This window comes from Homo sapiens, chromosome 3 (genome assembly GCF_000001405.40).
Source record: "Homo sapiens chromosome 3, GRCh38.p14 Primary Assembly".
NCBI classification, from domain to species: domain Eukaryota; kingdom Metazoa; phylum Chordata; class Mammalia; order Primates; family Hominidae; genus Homo; species Homo sapiens.
This window is the reverse complement of record NC_000003.12, coordinates 173,107,503-173,129,762: the sequence shown is the minus strand read 5'-3', so window position 1 is coordinate 173,129,762 and position 22,260 is coordinate 173,107,503. Positions and strand designations below refer to the sequence as shown.

General features: G+C 36.3%; 1 protein-coding gene and 1 long non-coding RNA gene across 4 annotated transcripts in view; one reads left to right on the top strand and one right to left on the bottom strand.

Annotated features, from left to right (window-relative positions):
- LOC105374220 (uncharacterized) overlaps positions 1-15,475 on the bottom strand; it is a 48,606-nt gene extending 33,131 nt beyond the window's left edge. The window contains exon 1 of the long non-coding RNA XR_001741021.1: positions 15,411-15,475. This is a non-coding gene — a long non-coding RNA (uncharacterized LOC105374220). The remainder of the gene's footprint in view (positions 1-15,410) is intronic.
- Positions 1-22,260, top strand: part of SPATA16 (spermatogenesis associated 16) — a 251,879-nt gene that overhangs the window by 11,473 nt on the left and 218,146 nt on the right. For all 3 annotated transcript variants that reach the window (NM_031955.6, XM_006713778.4, XM_017007308.3), the window contains exon 2: positions 12,014-12,643. In NM_031955.6, the coding sequence (NP_114161.3) occupies positions 12,032-12,643 (612 nt within the window). In that variant the 5' untranslated portion in view covers positions 12,014-12,031. The remainder of the gene's footprint in view (positions 1-12,013; positions 12,644-22,260) is intronic.

The following is a 22,260-nucleotide window of genomic DNA, read 5'->3' as shown; positions in this document are numbered from 1 at the left end:
CCTCAGGGAACAAATGTCTTGACTCGATTTTCATGTAAATATTAATTGCCAACTTACTATTTTTAAGAAGAAAAATTATACAGATGTGTGTTTATGTATAAACAGTTTCACAATGTAAAACAAGTCATCAATAATTAAACATTATTAGTATGTTTTATGTATAAATATTATATATAAGTATATATATAATACAGTGAATACACAGAAATCTGTACATGCAGTAGGATATATAGAGAGCACAATATTTAACACCATAATAGCTGTCCTCTTCAGAGAACTTATTGTGGGCCAGATGATGCATTAGTTCTTAACACATGTTATTTTGTCAATCTTTCAATCATCTCTATGAGGAATTAGTTAGTATTCATGTTTTTTGGGTAAGGAAACCAAGATACATCAAAGTTAAGTAATCTGGCTGAAAGTTTCTTCAGCAAAGAAAAGACAGAGTTAGGATTTGAACTCATATCTCTCCAAATCCAAAATTCATGTCCTGTCTTCCATGCTACTTTGGTTCTTGAGTTTGGAACGTCCTCCCAAGAAAAATGGATAACATTTCTGATCTCTTGCTCCTGAGTTCCTGTGAAGCACAATCCATTTTATTTATCTTTGTAATTCCCCAGGAATTAGCCCTGTATTTTTACCCAGCAGGAACTCAACAAGAGTTTATTGACTAAATGGATGAGTGAATGTCTACCAATAATTCGTTCTTATAAACGTATTTTTCAAGAGAGTAGCCATTTAGACTTTAAAGTGTTTCTTTAGCATCAACAGCTAATGCAGCCTCTGTCTTTCTGGCAGACTGCTTCATCCGTGGAAGCCCAGGTGCCAGTGTTACCTAAGCAAAATAAAGCATGTGAATGCATTGGCCTGGGGCCAACATGATTCACCAGACCACCAATATCAGTATCCTCTGTAGTAAGCTAATCATGAATATGCTTACGTCACCAGAAAAGTAGCATTACCAAAAAAGTAATTTTCTGGGAAAACTTGCTCTAGCATTTAGTATTTCAAAAGAAGCATGAAAGTAATTATAATAATATCTGACCCTTGTTAAACATTTTTAAAATTCATTTTATGACAGTATTGTTTTTTACTAATACTTTTCAATTCAAGCGGTGGGAGTTGGAGTAGGAAAGTCAGGAGGCGGAGCATATGCCATAACCATTTGCATGATGTGAACCTCTGGTGTTTTCAATACAGCCCTCTTCTGCTTACTAAACATGCAAATTCCTATGCATTACCCCAGACATGCTGAATCAAAATCTGTGGGGCCTGGAACCTAGAAGGCTTCAGGGGATTCTGATGCATACTAAAGTAGTATCTCCCACTAAACTATGAACTTTTTGTGAGTACAGGCATCCCAGTACTGACACAGGTCATTACAGAGTTGTTGCTTAGTAAATCATAAATGAATGATTGAATTAATTAATAAATTCTTAAGAAAAAAAGGGATATATAAAGTCAGCACCATATGATCCACCCTTATTCTGCCTACTTTATGCCATGAGTTTGTGCTTCTAACTGCTGAGGACATTATGTTTTTAACAAATGAATTTTGATTTACTTTATGGATGGATATAATGGAGCCTGGAACCAGAGCCTGTAGACCAACTTCAGTCCTGCCATTGCCACTAAATATGGATGTGCCGCCTCTCTAGCCCTCATCGTTAGAGTAAAGGTGTTAGAACAGATTTGCCCTGTGATTCCTTTCCAATGCTAAAAATTTATTTTTATATTTAAAAATATTTGTACTTTGATGGTGACTAGCCCTCCATCTGAGTACTCTTATGATGTCATGAGTTAGGAAAGGAAAAATCACCATTTTGCAATCATCATAGTTTAGATTGGTTCAGGCAAGAATCATCAGTGGATGCTAAATTGAGGGAGGAAAGTTTGATGAGGAAGCAGGAAATTGCGTGGTCGCAAAGTGTCTTCCTACAGACTGCATGTAAGTTGCAAGTGGAAAAATCTGTAACTATACTCTGGAAAAACTAGATAACATCTTGACCAGGTGATCAAAATTGACATCACCAAAGAAAAGCAAGCGGACGTTGTATGCCTCCAAATGTGATACCCTGAGAAACACACAACATTATTCGTTCTGTAGTATTCTGGCTGAGGCCGCTTAACCTGAATCTAATCATGAAGAAGTATCAGAAAAATCCAAATTGAGGTAGATTCTGTAAAATAGCTGGCTTGTACTCTTCAAAATTGGCAATGTCAAGGAAGATAGAAAAAAGCTGAAGAAAGAACTATTCCAGAGTAAAAGAGACTAAAGAGACACAATACATTATCTTGGAGAAAAAAGAAATCCTAAGAGGACATTATTGAGACAACTGACAAAATAGGCAAAATAGGGATAGGGACTGTAGATTAGACAATAGTATCATATCAATGTTAACATCCTGGATTTGATAACTGTATTATGCTACAGTAACGAAATATCCTCAGTCTTAGGAAATGTGCACTGAAGCTTTAAGGGGTAATGAGGCTTGATGTATACAACTTACTTTCAAACAGCTTAGCAAAAATAATATAAATGTTTTTATGTGTGTGCCTACATATTTCTGCATGTGTGCACACACACACACACATTAGGGAAAGAGAATTATAAATGTGATCAAGAGGTTTAAAATTGGTAAAGCACAATTTTGAGTTCTTGATATTCGTACAACTTTTCTGTAAACTTAAAATTATTTTAAATAAAAACTTGTGAATTTTTTAAAAGATGCACTTCCCACCTCTCAGTAGCTTTAACTTTAAAACATGTTTGAGAATAATTAACTAAATTGAAGGGTAGTTCAAAAGAAGAAATCTTCATATTACTGTCCATTAATTTTGCGGATCTCTGCAAACAAAGCACTGAACTGTCCAACATATGTTTCTTCATTTGGAAATTGTGACAACAATTTACCTTGTGTATTGTGGTGGGATGCAGTGGAGTAAGGCAGACAGAATTCTGAATGAGCTGCAAGATGTGGTTAAAAGCACTGATTTATTATGTGACTATAAACAGGTCATTTTACCTGAGTAAGACTTCATTACTTCTTCTGCAAAATAAACAGATTAGAGTATTTTGAAAGATTCTTCACCTCTATACTTCTACAATACTGAGTTATAGTTTAAGAAACCAAACGTGAAAGCCTAAGAATTAAGAACTTTATAAAAAGAATTAAAGAGTTGACCAAAGTTAAATGAAATTATTTTTTCTTTACACATCTATACAGCCTCTTACGTAAATAGAAACTTGGATCACTTTTACAGGAAGACAGAGCAGTGTTTGCAAAGAAAGAGAACGAGATTCAAACTTTGTCTTAAGATGCTCATGAATTTGGCAAGCTGATTGCATTTATGTTTTAAGAGGAAATGTAGCCAAAGGTCTCTAAAGTACGCTGAAACATTACTTCCTCTACTTCCATATTCCTGCCACAGCAAATGAGTAATTGTTTTTACAAATTGTGTTAAGGATTTTGAAGAAATACAATTGAGTCCTCATGGACCACACTTATAAGGATAGCAAGTTGTACAATTATCACTTCTCCAAAAAAGACTGATTTTTCTGAAGGTTCTGGTTCTGAATAAGCCATGCTGTATGTCAACAAAGAATAAGATAAATTATTTACTCCCTAACAAAGACTACAATAAAAAAGACCGGGGTAGGCACATCATAAATATTGTTGACATAGAGTAACAAACAACAAAAATAAGAAAAAAGAATCAGGATGCTACAGCGCCTAGAGAAGCTTTCCATTTTGAAGCCAAGTTGTAAAAAGCTAACTTACATTTAGGTGATTGCCTAATTTTCAGCTTTTGTAAAGTGATGCAACAACAACAACAAAAAGATACTTTTGAATGTTTCATTAATTGTGTAATAAGATACCATCATCAATTTTTCCAGTCAACAAATATTTACTGTGTTTTGAGCACATTCTGAGTATATAGCAGTGAACTAAGTATACAAAGTGCAGTCTCTCACATTCTGGTGGGGGAATATAAATATGAATGAAATGCAGACAAGTAAATACCACTATGATGAGTGGCATGGAGAGACGTAAAATACATACACAACTTGGTAGGGCTGATTACTCTAGTTCATCAGAGAAGGCTTATTTGCGAACAAATATTTAAGCTATGATCTGAATAACATAAAAAACACAGTGGAAACAATAGTCTAGCCCAACCAGTGCAAAGGTTCTGAGTTGGGAATGAACTTGTCAAATTAGCAGAACAGAAGGAATGCCAGGTGGCTGGAACATAGTAGACCAAGGGGGAAAGATATGTGAGGAGTTTTCAAAGGAGGCAGAGGCATCAGAGATTGTATTCGATTCTAGGTGTTATGGGCAGCCATTAAAAGGTCTTTAGTAAGAATGAGGTGGGATCTGATTTTCATTTAGAAGGATGACTTGGGTTGCTGTGTGAGGAGCACCTGCAATAATCTAGAGAGGAGATCATGGGCCCTGGAGGAGGGTATTGATCATACATATGGAAAGAGGCAGACCTTGGAAGGAGAGTCAACAGGACCAAATGACGGATGGTAGGATAGGGATTAACTGACAGAGAGGAATAAAGGATAACTTGTAAAGCTCTATCTTGGCCAACTGGGGGGATGTGGTTGGCATGCACTGGGATGGGAAGACTGAGACAGGGACAATTTTAGAGAATGGGAATTAGGAGACCCGCTGGTATTGTTAAGATGTATATTTGGTATTGTTAAGATGTATTAGATAATTTAAGATGTATAATGTATATTAGATGTCACATGGACAGAGGAGTATACAATTTTGATGTTTTAGGAGGATATAAGGACTAGAGTTGTAACACGGGTAGTTAGGTATGTATGATGGTATTTGAAGCCATAGAACTGGACAAAATCACCTGAGGAGAGAATGTAGCTGGAGAAAAGAAGGGGCTCCATGTGGGCTCTTGGTGGAAGAGAAAAGGAACAGCCAATCCAGGATATTGAGAATGAGTGGTGAGTGAAATAATTGGAAAATTGGAAGAGCATGGTGTCATACAAAGTGAGAAGAAAGTGTTCCATTAAACAGAGAGTATCAGCTGTGAAGACTGCTGTTATGAGATCTGGCAGATATGAGCCTGGGGTGACCACCGAATTTGGCAATATGAAAGTCAAGGGAGTTTTTTGTTGTTGTTGTTTTTCTTAAAAGAAAAGGGCTGCTACATCAGTGCAGGCATCAAGAGGATCAGTCCAATAACAAAAGAAGAGGTGATATGGAAAGATGACAATTGCAGCAGCAAAGTCATTGAGAGGCTGGAGGGATAGGATCCAAACAAAAGGAATTAACCTTGGAAAGAGCCAAGGCATTTTCATTCAAGGAGCTGCTTGTGGAATTACCAAACCTCTTCTCTTACTAAGTTCAGCTTCTCTTACATAAATCATCTCATTTGATTCTCACATGATTCTCATGTATCCGATCATTCCCAATTTCCAGAGAAGGAAAAGAAAGTTTAGGGAGGTTGTATTATTTGTCCTACAACATGCAGTTAATAAATAATAAAAGAGAATTCAAACCTTTCTTGCAGTTCCAAACTGAATGCCCTTTCCACTACTTAATATCATGATAAAGTCTCCCTTCTAATGCTCCCTCTGACCCAACATGACAAATGTCAGTGTTTGAGATACGACGAAGTACAGTTGCTTTGATGCCATTTTCCTCATTTGGTGGCTTAGTGATCAGCAAATGGCTTGGCAATTTTAAGTTTCAGTCCCTGGAATCCATTCATGTAGAAGTTTTATGTCCACATCATTTTTTTCCTGCATCTAATGACGGCTGCAATATAGCAGGGCCATAATTACATTTGCAGCTACAGATCTTTAAAAACACTAAAAATCTAATACCAGGCCGGAAGTGGTGGCTTATGTCTGTAATCCCAGCACTTTGGGAGGCTGAGGCGGGTGGATCACCTGAGGTCAGGAGTTCAAGATCAGCCTGGCTAACATGGTGAAATCCCGCATCTATTAAAAATACAAAAATTAGCTGGGCATGGTGGTTGGCGCCTGTAATCCCAGATACTCGGGAGGCTGAGGCAGGAGAATCACTTGAACCTGGGAGGCGGAGTTTGCAGTGAGCTGAGATCACACCATTGCACTCCAGCCTGGGTGATAAGAGGGAAACTCTGTCTCAAAAAAAAAAAAAAAAAAATCTAATACCTTTCTTAACAAATTTGATTCACATATTCAAGTTAACTTATAAATTGCTAGTTTGTTTTGTTATCATTTTAGAGGGAGTGCCACCCAGTAAAGCAGCAGTAAAGTCAAATATCTTGTTACTAAGTTAAAAAAAAAACTTTTAAAGTAAGGAAAGTACAAATCCCAATCAACTTGGGGTGCAATGCAGAGGACTATATTATCCTATTATCTAAAAAGCATGGAATTTGACATGCTGGGTTCAAGTCAGGTTTGGTAAACTCTCCTGGTAATGTCTTTCAAGTTGTTTAACCTCTTGGTTTCTTTATTATGAAAATATGGCTAAAATATTTATGCAAAAGAGTTGTTGTCAGAAACAAATGGATTAATCCAGTGAGATAACTTCATAAACTGAGAGTACCTGTTGGTTGTTATTATTATGTATATAACACTGGATGGTTTATTTTGCATTTCTTAAAATACATTGTAGGGCAAATTTCCCTCTACCTTCTAATAATAACGTACCATTTCTTGAGGGTTCTCAGATAGAAGAGAAGAGCAACTGCTTGCACAGGGACACTTGTCCCTCTTCTCAAAATCTTTCCCAAATATCTTGAAATTGCATCAGTCCCATGTTCTTACAGAAGTATGTCCATTATTGCTACCATATACTGTAGAATATAGCACCTCAGACACACATTCCTTCTAATAACAAATGTACATTGAGGGTCTCTTATGTTCCAGGCTCTGAAGAAACTACACATCAATATAGAAAAAGGATTGTGATACATTTCTGCCTCTCCAGCAGTTCACGGTCTAGTAAAACAACATCTCCTCTTTTCATCCTCCACCTCCACTCCTAGCTATGAGCACTACAATGCCAAGACCCCTGTCTCGGTCATCTTTAGTTTCTCTCATATGACCTAGCACAGCACCTTGCTCATAGTAGGAACTCTATAAATGATTATTGGATTGAAGAAATATTTTGTAGTGTGTTTTTTAAAACATTTAAAAGAACTGGTAGACTAACAAGCAAGGTGTTTTTTTCTCATAATGTCTCACTGGTTACATTTAACAGCAAGTTAAAATTAGATCTTTTTTTTTTTAAAGAAAGAAAACCATAGCAACTGTGATGTCGAATGTTTCAGAGAGCACATTTTTAAGGATTCTCTTTTGCTGAATTGCCCATGTTTGAGCTGCCTATTTCAACCAAAAATTTAATAAATAAGCTGTGGTACTAATAGCCATGTAAACCACTGATTGAATCTATGAAGCAATAGAAACTCCCACATAGAACAGAACACTTGATGAAATACTTGAAGAAAAAAACATAAATGTGTGGAAAATCCACTGAATGAATTTAAAATGGTTACCCACTGGAAATGATTGAACATTAACTTCTCTTTGTTCCTTGTACTTGTATTTGTTAAAAAAAAACCTTGGCGATTGTTCCAATGTTGCCTGTCAATATTTGCTAACGATTTTTTAAAGGCATATTTCTATGAGGAAATCAATTTTACAGTGCTGTCTTCTAAATTAAAGAATGAGCATTTTTATAGAATGTTACCAACAAATACTTCTTTGACATACATAATGATGGTCTAATAGTTTTTAAGTATTTTTATTGAAGTAATGATTAAAGTGCAGCTCAGTGTCTCAGGAACACTGACTAATGTCATTTTAATCAACTTGACTACTAAAAAAAAGTGAAGAGGTTGATAGTTTAAATCTAGTTGGTACACGATTCACTTGAACTATCAAAGAAGAAAATGTACTTCACCCAAGACCAAATTTAAAACAAAAAATAAATCCAGAAATATTTCTCAGAAACAACTTTTTCAAAGGTATAGTCCATACCTTTTTAAAAAAATCCAATGTTGTTTCTCTTAAACAAGAATGTGTAAATTAGCTGTTGATTCACAGCATTCATATTGATCAACATCTATTGAATGCCTACTCTATGCAAAGCACTGAACTAATGTCAAGAAGAGTAAAGTATATTTCTGCTTTTAGGGAATTTATTGGAAGAAAAAATTCATTCAGGAATAATTGCGATATAAAAAATAAAAAAGGTGCTATAAATGCCATCAGTATTATTCTGAGGAGGTAAAAATGGATAACTCCTTGGTAGGTTTGGAAAGGTAGAATGAGGTGGGAATAGGAAGATGGGGAATTCTTAGTTGACAGACTGAAAATGAACATCTTTTGGAATAAACAAGATGTTCAGCTTGACTTCAGAGTAGTTTATAGGAGAAGTGCTAAATAAGGCTGAAAACACACATTGAGCGAGGTGGTAAAAGGCCTCAAATTCCAGATTATTTAAATAGAGTTTTATAATTTTTAAAGAAGCCATAAGCAGCAGTTCCATAACTCTTCTGTACATGTGTGACAATTTTTATTAAAAAAAAAAAAAGGCTGTACAGCTGAAATAAAGTCATCCGATTTTCAACCAGCACTGAAAAATAATGGTTGGATTTGGCCATGCTTTTTCAGCCTGCACATTTAAGACACTTTCAGACATTCAGGTATTTATTCTGAATTTGGGAGGGAACCTGAATTAGTTTCTTATATATATTGGGAATAATTGATCTTTCAGATGTCTGAAAGCTAAACATTTGCTTAGATACTTATTCCCTCTGAGTGCTCTATGTACACCCTATATAATTTTTCCCCCTGTTATTTTTTCTTGTGTAAAACTGCACTGAAGACCAAAATGATGATTTCTATAGAGCAGTTTAAAGACTAATGCAGAAGTACTCAGAATCCTATTTCTTAAAACAATAAAACCTTCCTTCTTGCAGAAAGAAAAAGGCTCGGAGTGAGGGACATCTGGGAAGAGAATTGGAGTGGGAGGAGTTGGGAGGAAAATAGGCAGAGGAAAGGAGCATGGGATGGAGGGAAATGGAGAGAGGGAGGCAGAGAGAGAGAACAATTATGCTCTAGAAGAAATGGCTATAAAGATAACTTTATGCATTTATATGTGTTAAAGAGATGTGAAATAAATACAGCAGAGATAGGTAATGCTGCTGTAGATGCTAAAAATGTTACTAATGACAATCAACTACAGATATTCTGGTACATTTTAGCCTCTGGTGCTTGAAGTAGAGAGAGTATCAATAAGATAAGATACCTGGGAGGTATCATGAAAATGTTGGAACAGCTCACAAACCGATGTTGCCTGTTTATATTTTTAACAGCCTACTGTGGATTAAAATGAACCAGAAACCCTTAAAATCAGGTATTTTGAGCTTTAAACAAGAGCTGCCTCTCTGCTACCAAAAGAAACTTAACGATATAGATGCATAGCCGGAGTGTTCATTCAACAGAGATCTTAACTGAAGGACTAAAGTTTATTTTTACTCAATCCAAATCATATGTAGATGTGGCACAAGGGCAAACAAAAAATAAAGTGATGGCCAAGACAGTTTCCCCATGCCACTCTTGCTAATGAGTAGCCACATTAGCAGTCCAAAAGATGTTGGATGCCAGCAATGTTTCTTTCTTTTTTTCTCTCTCTTTTTTTTTTTTTTGAGATGGAGTTTCGCTCTTGTTGCCTAGGCTGGAGTGCAATGACACGATCTTGGCGCACTGCAACCTCTGCCTCCCGGGTTCAAGTGATTCTCCTGCCTCAGCCTCCAGAGTAATTGGGACTACAGGCATGTGCCACCACATCCGGCTAATTTTGTATTTTTAGTACAGATAGGGTTGCACCATGTTGGTCAGGCTGGTTTTGAACTCTTGACCTCAGATGATCCACCTGCCTTGGCCTCCCAAAGGCCAAGCCATCGCGCCTGGCCAGCAACATTTACAGGCGTGAGCCATCGCGCCTGGCCAGCAACATTTGTAAGAGAGGAAAAGGAAACAGGGTCTTGCCCAAAGTGGAGCTGTTGGTGGGGCCTGTGATTCACAGTTCTGCTGATCTTCAATACTAAACACAACACAGGCTGGTTAAAATTTCAAACTTAAATGTTTTATCCTATAGAAACACAACCCTACTGTGTCATTATCAATCATTGGGGAAATATTCTAGGATTTAGCTTTTACAAATTAATATACAAGATAGCTATTATTAGAATTATTGGAATTCAGTCATTCATATGAGATAACAAAGACCATCACAGTAGATCCTTTGGTATGTCCATGTATGACCTTAAACCTTTTCTGACAACATATGTGTCCAATGGTACAAAGGGGGAAAGTACTTCAAAGGTTAGAGCCATAGGAACAGTTATGGTTCTCCCTTTACTTAAAAATCTAATGGGTCACAGTTCAGGATGCTTTTTGTTTGTTTATTTGTTTGCTTTAAGTTCTGGGATACATGTGCAGAACGTGCAGGTTTGTTACATAGGTATACATGTGCCATGGTGGTTTCCTGCAGCTATCAACCCGTCATCTAGGTTTTAAGCCCTGCATGCATTAGGTATTTGTCCTAATGCTCTCCCTCCCCTTTCCCCACACCCCCTCGACAGGCCCCAGTAGGTGATGTTCCCCTCCCTATGTTCATGTGTTCTCATTGTTCAATTCCCACTTATGAGTGAGAATATGCAGTGTTTGGTTTTAAGGGTCTTCTTCGGCAAACTACTGTCTTCCAAACAAACAAATGAAGACAATCAACAACATTAATAAGTTTTGAGAAGTGACTCACGATTTTTATCTTGAGTCGGACACTGACCTTGAAGATAAAAGGAAGCACAAGTGTTAGCTTTTATCTCATTGTTATCTTATTATATGCAGCCCTTCTTTCTTGTTATTTTCTCCTATCTTTGTGGTCTAATCTATGTCTATTAGCTATACTAAAGAACCTCATGTTATAGAGGAAGTATCTCAGGCTAGGAGTTGGCAAGTGGCAGTCCTAGGAAGGTAATAGCAATCTGAATGGGTAGGTTTTGCTAATGACCAACCAATGTGACCTTGGAGAAGCAACTTAATCCCTCTATCCCTTAGTTTCTTTGCAAAATGTGGTCCCTGTTCCTATTTACTCCACAAAGTTGTTTCCAGAATAGAATGTGATAGGTGAAAAGAAAGAGTCCTAAAAGATAGGAATCAACCATACTAAATAATTATTATATCTTAGAACACTTGATATTTTGAAACAAATCTAGAAGCACATAGCATGCAGAATCTTGGAATCAAAAGACTGTTACATATTTTGAGCATTAATGTTTAGAAAAATACCTCATCTTTATACAGTGTACATTGTTGATACCATTACTACAAATAGACTAATACAGTAGACTAAAGATAAGTCTATGGCTCACATTTCTGTAAGATTGAAGGTCATGTTCTTCTTCTTTAGAGCCTGTTGTGAACAATAGTTGTCTATGAGCTTTTTAAACTTGAGATTTTCATTAGTAATAAAAGAAACAAATTTAGGAAAGATTGTGCTCACATTTTTGGAAGCTTTTCAGAGGAAGCAGCTGGGGTTTCTTTAGACTCCCAAGTCTATTATTCAGGTGAGTAGTGTATTTTGTAATGAGTTCTAGACCACCTGCCTTTCTGAGGAAATTAATATTGAGATAGATTTACTTTGGCTTTTCTTGTCTCAGTGGCTATGTATAAAATTTTCCTATTCAATGAGTTTGGATACCCCATTAAAGTATTCATTCGATGTTGTTCAGCCACAGAGGATCATTTTTTAAGACAATGTCTAGATGTGTTTACAACAAATTCTTATCTTGGTGAGTTTTGAGACTGACACATACACTCCTCTATTAAAATAGTCAGTAGATTATGTAAATACAGTTTTACTTACAAGGCAACAAATACTAATAATGAATGAAATAGTGTTTAAAATGAATTTGACTATAGTCTAAACCACTGGAATTCAAAATATTGCCTTAATTACTTTCCTTTTTCTCCCCCCTGCAGGAGTTTTGGGCAGGATCGATGGATGCAGGAAGCAGTAGGAGTTTGGAGAATGCAGTGAATAGGATCTATCATGATCAGCTTGTTCCAAAGATAAACACAAGCAAGAAAATGTCCACCTTAGCGCACCCACCTAACATCCTGGAAATGTCACAAGAGATTAAGAAAAACTGTGGAGGTAAACAGGTAGAAATCACACTTGAAAGAACAAAAATGACAAAGGGCATCAAAGAAAAACAAAGCAATGATTTAGAGAAAGCAGCCTTTAAACGGAAGGCAGAAGGTGAAGAAAAGCCAACTAGAAAGAAACAGGCAAAGATAACAGAACTTGACAATCAGTTAATCACCATGCCTCTGCCTCACATCCCCTTAAAGAACATAATGGATGTGGAAATGAAGTTGGTCTACATTGATGAAATGGGTGTTCGCTATGAGTTTGTAGAGTCCTTCATGTCTACTGGGAGTCAGCCAACATGCCAAGCTGCTGAAATAGTAGACCCTTTGAGTGTACATAATTTCAGCTTTCTGCCTCAGATTGACAAATGGCTTCAGGTAGCCTTAAAGGATGCCAGCTCTTGCTATAGACAAAAGAAATACGCCTTGGCAGCAGGACAGTTCAGAACAGCACTTGAGGTATGGGATTAAAGAAAATATAGATTGGTGACAGGAAACTATGAAATGGAAAGTTGCAATTACATTGAGGGGTTCTGGCCATACTGTAATAAGCAGTGATCATGAGGTGAGGATATGTAATGATATTAGGATTTTGCAGTTCCCAGTTTACATAAAGCAAATAAATAAGCTATGCCTGCAAATTAATATGCCTGTGTGCACTTGATATATAGAAATAACCCCAAAGGCATACCTCATGCTTTTTACAAACCCTGAAGTGAATGGTGATATATTTTTAAAATGCAGTTGCTTTCATCACTTAGCTGCCCACCTATAAAAGCCGTAAAGTTTTAGTACAATGGTGGTGGGTAGAATATAGATTCTCTAGAAATAGGCAGTTAATGAGTATATGAATTGTCCACTTTTGATATGTAGTATCCTCATGATTAAACATAACCATCTTTACTTTTTAGCATGTGCTCATAATTTATACGTGATACTTATTACAAACAAAATAACACCATTTTACTTTACCATCAAACTTTATTTTTCTCCCCATTCTAGTGATCTTTATGAATAATTATCTTCCTATCTGTAAACAGGTAAGTTTGTGAATACCTTGGCATAAAAAATAGCCATGGACTAAAATAAACTTCAGAATCACTACTAAAACACAAAATAGGTAGTAGGAAAATTATACTAGCTCATGACATACTGTACCTATAGAAGGACCAAACTGTATGCACCATTGGCCTTGCTTTGTTGATGAGTGCATATTTCGTATTTTATTTTACAAAACTATCTTACAAAAAACATTTCAATGCATACTATATATGCCTGCTGGGCACTGGAGCTATTTAAAAAGAAATGAATGAAGACATGGTTCCTTCCCTCTAACCACCTGGTGAGGAAGACAAACCAGTAAACATTTAAATAAAGATGCCATAAAGTCCTGGCATGGTGACTCACACCTGTAGTCCCAGCACTTTGGGAAGCCAAGGTGAAAGGATCACTTGAGGCCAGAAATTCTGGACCAGTCTGGGTAACATAGTGAGACCCTATCTCTACAAAATGTAAAAATTAGCTAGGCATAGTGGCACACATCTATACTACTAGCTACAACAGGAGGCTGAGGTGAAAGGATCTCTTGAGCCCAAGAGGTCGAGAGTGCAGTGTGCTATAATTACACCACTGCATTCCAGGCTGGGCAACAGAGTAAGACTCTGTGTCAAAAAAAAAAAAGAAAAAAAAAATGCCCACAAGAGTAATTGAGCATGGGTGATGAGAGTGAGCAGGAGTCAAATGTGAGATGTTGTCGTGAAAGTGGTGCAATGTAAAGAGTAAAGTATTATTTTCATTGTTACTTGCAGGTTAAAATGACTACAGTTATAATGAATTATTAATAGATGATACCAGACAATGGTGTCCCTAAATATTTTAAAAGGTGCTACGTACAAAAACAGACCTGAGTAGATATGAAGTAATTAGGTAGCACACAAATAGATGCATCTATAAATATTCCTGTTCTCATAAAGGGTCATCTACACAAATAAGGGAAGTGTGATGTACTACGTAAACTTCTAAGCTATCTAATAAGTGCTGGAAAAATCCATATTATCCACAAACCCCCAAAAGAACCCTCTGTTCTTTTGAACAGTCTTTTGAGCTAAAGCTCTGCAGCCTTCGTCTAGGAAAAGAATGCTAATGAAAGACTCTACAAAGAATACCAGGCCATTCTGCCAGGGCCATCTTCAGCTGAAATTTATTTTCCTGGTGCAGGGAGGGTTAAAGGTATAATTTTATAGATAAAGAAAAATAATCATTTTGGCAAGAAAAAAGAAAGGCATCTTTTCTTAGCTACTGTAAAAGCTTCAAATTAAGTTTAAGTAAAAGCAAAAGACATCTGCATTAAATGAAACAAAATACCCAGTTTTCCATAAAACCCTGTGTTCAAAATTATAAAATTTGAATCAGGTTTTGTTAAACCTAAAATATAATTGTACTGCATAATGCTTGTGTTTCTCTCTCTCTCCTTCCCCGCTACCTCTTTTTTTTCTCTCTCCTGTTCTCCTTCTCTCTCCCAGGGTTCTAAGGAAAGTTTTGGATGCTGACACTAATTACTGATAATTAACAAAAATAATTATTTTGAAACCAAAACTTAGCTTAGACATCTGGCCTAGCTTTTGTCTAATTATCTAGGGAGTTAACTTTGAAATCTTAGCTAGAATATCTCAAAAAAACAAAGCTACTGGGAATAGAAAAGATTTGTAGCCTTTTCAGCCTTTCTTTTCTTTTCCCGAATTTAACTTCTAAATTTAACTTTATTAATACTGAGTGCTCTCACATATCATTTAAAGCATCTCTCCCTTTTCCTTAAGTCCTAACATGGCTTTGAATAAGATAGGATGGACGGCAGAAGCCAAGGCACAATGATAATGATCACACTTGATAGATGCTGCAAGTATTTGAGTGTGGATACATTAGGGTTAGGTTTGGCTGCAAAATAAGTGTCTGAAGGAAGGTAGAAGTTTATTTCTCTCATACATAAATGTTGGTAGTCAAGGGCTGATATGGTATGATGGTCAGGGTGCCAGGTTATATCTCCTTTCCTAAGAAGTGGCCTTGACTTCATGATCCAAAATAACCATTCCTGCTGGTGTCATCAGATACACATTCTATCCAGCCAAAAATGAGAAAAAGGAAAAAGAGAGGCACACAGTGTCTCCACGAGCACACCATTTTCATTTTTTTCCCATTAACCAAAATTTAATCATGTGGCCACACATACCTGCAAGGGAGGCTGAGAAATACGGTCTTTATTCCAGATGGCTCTAACATTCTGAAGTTCTGTTACTGAGAAAGAAGGAGAAAATAGGTATTGAAGGATAAGTAGCATCTCTCCCATAGAAGGCTTGCTATGAGGGAAGTGTTATGAGACTCTTTTTTTTTTTTTTTTTTTTTGAGATGGAGTCTTGCTCTGTTGCCCAGGCTGGAGTGCAGTGGTGCAATCTCAGCTCACTGCAACCTCCGCCTCCCAGGTTCAAGTGATTCTCCTGCCTCAGCCTCCCAAGCAGCTGGGATTACAGGCACCTGCCACCACGCCTGGCTAAGTTTTGTATTTTTAGTAGAGACAGGGTTTCACCGTATTGACCAGGCTGGTCTTGAACTCCTGACATCAGGTGATCCACCCACCTCGGCCTCCCAAAGTGCTGGGATTACAGGCATGAGCCACTGCGCCCAGCAGAGGCATTCAGAATGGTTGCCAAATATGTGGTACAAAGTCAGCTGTAAGAGTGTGTAGAGGACTGGTTGTGGTTAAAGGTGAGACCACAAAAAAGAAACAGAAAAGTAAGAACGGAGCAAAGGCCCTGGAGGCATTTAAATATTTATTAAGTGACATAACAATTTCCAATGCATCTAATAAACCCATTAGGAATGTTTTGTTTATGTGTTAGTTTCCTTTGTGTTCTTGACAAAGTACTAACTCCTTTTATTTTCATAACATAGTCACTAGATAGGTAAATTTATGATAACATTTTATAATCATTAAGGTCAAATGATATGCAATGATTCAGAAGACAACAGTTTAACTTCCAAAAACCTGTCAACTTTAGTCTTTTAGGATTTTGTAACATAGCAGGCATTTATGTAAACATGCTTAATGAAATAACTTATTTTTGCATGCTTTCTTTTTACTGTATAAAGGTGAACCAGTTATGTGGGTAAAATTGGTCCTTAGCTCTATGACCACCTCATCAATCTTTCTCAAGTTTCGTTAAAAACAGTCATCGTATGCTCTTATGTTTGTATTCACACCAGAAGCTAAACCAATAAGGGCAAAAGGTGTAAGCTGAAGATAAAAACACAAATTCATATTATTTTATATTGTCATGCCTAGATACTATTCCCTGCAATTTTTTAAAGACAGCTATACCAATTTCCCCACTACAAAAACAGTAGGGATTCTATTTAAAAAAATATGACTGCCTCATATAGTTGTATTTGCATATTAGGCAATACATACTACTATGTAATAAATTGCTTGGCTGTCAACAAAAAGTAGGAAAAGATTAATAAATTAGGAATACATAAAGGACAGAAGATGCAGTAATCATATTTTTTGTCACTTATTGGAACAACACTCAAAGAAATTATCAAAGGTTTTTCTAACTTCATAGCATGCAACTTAAACAACACCACCATTTCAATCTTAATCATAGGATCCTAATAATTAAGAGGCTTCCACCTTCTGAATTAGAACAAATCTATATGTATCCTTTAAGATTCACAGCTTCAAACAATCCCATTAAACCCATCAAAGAAGACAGAACAAGACCCATCCATTACCAACCAGAACTTTCAATTCCTCTGATTTCATCATGCAGCAGCCCCTTGAGGTGCTAATCTTTTTTTAATATCTTGGCGCTCCAGTCGCTGGTGTGTGAAGTTAAAGTAATAACTCACATTTATGGAGCTCTTTGTATGTGCCAGCTACTATATTTTACATTCTGGGATTATTTACATTCATTATTCCATTTCATTCTCACAACAAGCCAATGAGATAATACTGTTATTATTATTGTGTTACTAATGAGAAAACCAAGGGTGGACAGGTTAAGTAACTTGCTCAAGGGTCAAAAGCTAGAGGTGGTGGAGTCGGGATCCGCTTATCTGGTTTCAGGGCTCACCAGTGTGCCTCTGCTACTCTAAGTGTGAGTTGGTTGGAAATACAAAATTCTAGATCTTGCCAGACCTGCAGAATCAGAACCTGCATTTTAACAAATTCCAGATGGTCCTTGTGCACATTGCAGTTTGAGGAGCACTACGCTCTGTGATTTTGCCCTCCAATTAACACTTTGAAGTTTGGCCCCTACATTTTATAATTTAAAATGTTGTATGTCCAACATTGATTTTATAGGAAAGAATTTCTTCTTAAGCAGGTGTTTCTATAACAATAGTTCAGAATTTTTGCATTTCAAGGATCCATAAAAAAATGTTTTAAGTGTGTGTAGGGGGAGAGTGGGTTGGCATTGCATTTGTATTGTACAAGAACATTACAAAAATTACCATCTATTACCACCATTGAATCATAAAATATGGAGCAGTTTTACCCATAAAAGTTAGAAGGAAAGATAAAAAGAAACAGAGAGGTCATACTCTCAAAATGAAGGATATTTTAAAAACAGTTATATTTCAATTTTATGAAAAGCTATGTTGTCTTTATTTTTTATTTTCCCTTGGATCGGTAAAACATTGGTCTGAGAACCAGCTTTTGGGAATCACTCTTCTAGAACACATTCTTTATGGTAAATGTTAGGTATCCAACATGATTGAACCCACACCAGGACCTTCTTATGAGATTACTTCCAAGATAATGGAATTTGGTATAAGACAGGTCCATTTTGGAGCCCATTCAAGGGGGTTTATTTAATGAAGTAGAAAAGATATCTCATTATAGGGCAGCCTCACCTATAATTGCTCTGCTGAGAATAACTCTGTAGCAACTCTCTAGAGCACAAAAATGTGGATATCTCAGAAAGCTTAATTTAAATAAATTCTAGCACAGGTATTTCTTTGGTGCCACATAATCAGAAATTTGGGGGTTCACCAAATTCTCTGAGTGCCTGAGCTGTCTCATTGCAATCTGTGGATTTGCATATGAATCCAGTATGCATTTCTTAAACTACTGCTGGGTTCCAGGCATTTTGTTATTGTTGTTGTTTTTTGATTTGAGATGGAGTCTGGCTCTGTCACCCAGGCTGGAGTGCAGTGGTACGATCTCGGCTCACTGTAAGCTCTGCCTCCTGGGTTCAAGTGATTCTCCTGCCTCAGCCTCCTGAGTAGCTGGGATTACAGGCGCATGCCACCACGCCTGGCTAATTTTTGTATTTTTAGTAGAGACAGGGTTTCACGTTCTAGGCACTTTTACTCATACAATCATTGCAATAACCCTCTCTAAGATGGATATTATCACCCCATTTTGCAGAAAAACTGATGCTCTAAAAAAATTAAATAACTTACTTAAAGTGTCATGGCTAGTCTGTGGCAGGGCTGAGATGGAATTCAGGTCCCCTGATTTCACATCTGGACTTCTTTACACTCCTGCTTTTCATACTGTAATGTGCATAAAAATTCTATAGTAATCTTGTTAAAAATGCAGATTCAGATGCATTATGTTTGAAGCGGGACACCAGATGCCTCATTTCAAATAAGTTCCCAAATGATGTTCATAATGCTGGTCCAGGGACAACTCTGAGAAGGATTTATACCAAACCACTAGTAGGTTCTCAAGTGACTGCCATTGCCCCTCTAGTAAATTAGCAGTAAGCAGTAGCTCACGTAGTCGTAAGTGGCCGCAGGGCTCCAGAGCTGTGATGGACAGGGCACTGAATTTGGAGTCAGATTATCTGTGTTTGATGCTGCGCTGATGCTATGTGAGTTTGAGCAACTTTCTTAGCCGCTTAGAATGCCATTAAGTAGAAATGATAGATAATAAGGTGCTTTCACATAGAACATCAAGAATTGTTTATTGAAAAACATAATGAAATCTAAATTCATGTACAAGTTGTCACTGTACTTCTCAAGTACCTCACTTCCCTGTATGGTATGTGTTTAATTTAAAGCTTAACATTCCAAAGGATTTTGCCCAACTATGTGTTTACCAACATTGTTTAACATCCATAGCCCAAACTCTTTGATTAACATTAACAATTTCTAGTCTTCTTTTAATTATATTTAAAATTTAACCAAAGCAAGGGACAAAGTAATGCATCGTGTTCTACTTTATCTTCCCTTGAGAAGCAGTGATCTAAACCAAACACTATTTTGAACTACTAACTGCCTCTCGCACAAATATAAGCCTTCACTTAAATGCACAAATTGTTATTCTAGAGATAGCCCATTGTTTCTTAGTTGTCAAGTATAAACTGACTGTGAACTCTTCATGTTCAAGATTAGACATTTCAGATTTTAACTTGATTGTTGTTGTCGTTGTTCCATACAGGGACACCATAACTAATAAGTATTTAATGATTTTAAAAAATTTGGAAAATGCTAGCAAACATACAGGAAAATACGAAATGAATTTCCCTTTTAACCCCAAAAAATAAGATAAAAGTATTATTACATACATTTTTATAATCAGTGTGTTTAATTATACTTTATAATAATTAAACACTGATTAAATAATACAAATCTCTAGAAAATTAAAATTTGCCATTATAAGAAAAAAGTGTGTTAATACCACTAGCATTTACCAGCTATTTTAACCTGGCATAATGCTAGATGCTGGAAATACAAATATAAATAAAATACAGTTTCTGCCCTCAAGGATCCAAAGTGTAGAGACAAGGAATTGGGTCTTGCTTGCCTGAATTCCAAGACTTCATTTACATTTTAGGGTAATGTATTTTTATTTTTTGTTTAGTGTGTTATTGTTTATATTTTAAAAGATTTTTTTCTGAAATGTGATCTTTAAGTTGACGTTTAGAAAGATATCCAACATATTTTAGTGTAATTTATTTACCTTCAATGGTTATCATCCCAACCCCGATGGAATAAAAAACAAATTAGAAGATTTAAGATACATAGATGAGAGTTGATTATTGATTAAAGGAACAAAATATTTTTCAGGCTTAGTATTATTAAAAAGGGATGAGAAATAGGAGATATATCTGAGGCAATTACTCATTTTGATGGGCCACTCTTCCTTACTATTGAGGCTTTTTATCCACATGGTCGTGGCTGTGCTGCACACCCACCGTCTGACTCATCTGACTCATGCTAAGTCCCCCTCCCTTTCCCACACAAAAGCAGCCATTGACACAGCAGGGGAAGAGCCACAGTTCCTATTTGTATGCAGCCCCCATAACATGGGAGAAGTTGTGAAGAGGGATTTGGAGAGAATCAAAAGGACAGGAAGGGTGGAAGAGGGGGCCAAATGAGGGTCGGGAGGTAGGCATTGACCATCTCGGGGAGAACAGAGTTTTCCCATTACTTAGATGGTAGTAGAGTATGGAAGAGGGGTTTAGTAGGAGAATTTTCAATAAATAAGCCTACACTATAATTTGTATCACTTTACAAATGAAAAGAGAATCACATTCCATAAAAAAAGATTATGAACATCGTAGGTTCTTAATACAGTCATGCGTAGCTAACAATAGAGATACATTCTGAGAAATGTGTCATTAGGCAATTTTGTCATTGTGCAAACACAATAGACTGCACTTACACTAGCGTAGATGGCATAGTCAACTACACACCTAGGCTATACGGTAGAGCCTACTGCTTCTAGGCTATGAAGCATGTTATTGTACTGAGTGCTGTAGGCAATTGTAACACAATAGTATTTGTGTATCTAATCATAGAAAAGATATAGTGAAAATAAGGTATGAAAAATAAAAAATGGTACACCTGTATAGGGCTGCTCCATTATAATCTGATGGGACTACTGTCATATATACAGTCTGTCATTGACCAAAACATCGTTATGCAGCATATGACTTTATAATTACAATCACCTGGGGAGCTATTAGATATACACAGATGCCCAAACCCACTCTCAGAGAGTCCAGTACAATTATCTGGGGTCCAGGCAATGATCATTCCTGGAACATTGGTATTTTTACAATCCCAGGTTGACTATGGAGCAGCTTAACATTGAGAACGACTAGCATTGAAAATACTCATCACTTCCTTCTCTTTTAAAATCACAATAGGTTTTAACCCATATGTGACTTTTAAAAGAGAATTAATAAATATACAAAGCTATTTAAAAATATTATATAAAAATGTAAATTGTCATGAAAATTTACTCTGAAAATTTATACTGAACATAATCTCATATTCATTTAAAAAACAAATTAACTTACTTAATGACTACTTTTCTATTAATACTAAAAAATAGATTGATACTGAACTTGGGCCAGTGGTTAGATAGTGTGTGTCTCTGAAACTTTAAATTCATCCCACAAGTGAAAACTTCACCGAAAAAAATGAACAATTAATCCATAGGAAGCTGAGGAAGATCTTTTTCATCAGTGGGATTATTTCCATAGTTTACAGGTGGTCATTATGTGTTTGATTCAAATGACAGTAAATGTTAATGAAATTTTTAAATATAGTTAATTCTGTCATTCTTCTGAATCAATACCTAACCAATTGTCATGAAGTCTTACACAACCCTAAATTGTAATCAGTTTGAAGACTGTTTAGGGATGACACCCAGAAAAATTTAAGTCAGATGATTCTGACTTAAGTATCGGATCATGTTGCAAAACATTTCTTCCACTATCCAACTTTCCAAATGTGTGTAAGTCTACTGAAACCAAATAGACTTAAAAACAGCAATTCCGTCTCTTTCCTCTGTTACGGACCCCATTCCAGCCTTCCTACACATACAACTTCATAGTTAAACAGACTCTGAAATAGTGAGTAGATGAGATCCACTTTAATGTGTTCACAAAAATGTAATGCAGAGTGAAGTTGCAATTGCTTTTTCAATTCAGGTTATCTAGAAAAATATTAAAGGAAAATTTAGTTTCAACTTCTACTAAATTATGTAACTCTTCTTTTGCCTCATTTGACATTCACTAAAATAGAGAAGACTTTGTTTCCGCCTAAGAGATGATTCTGTTTCT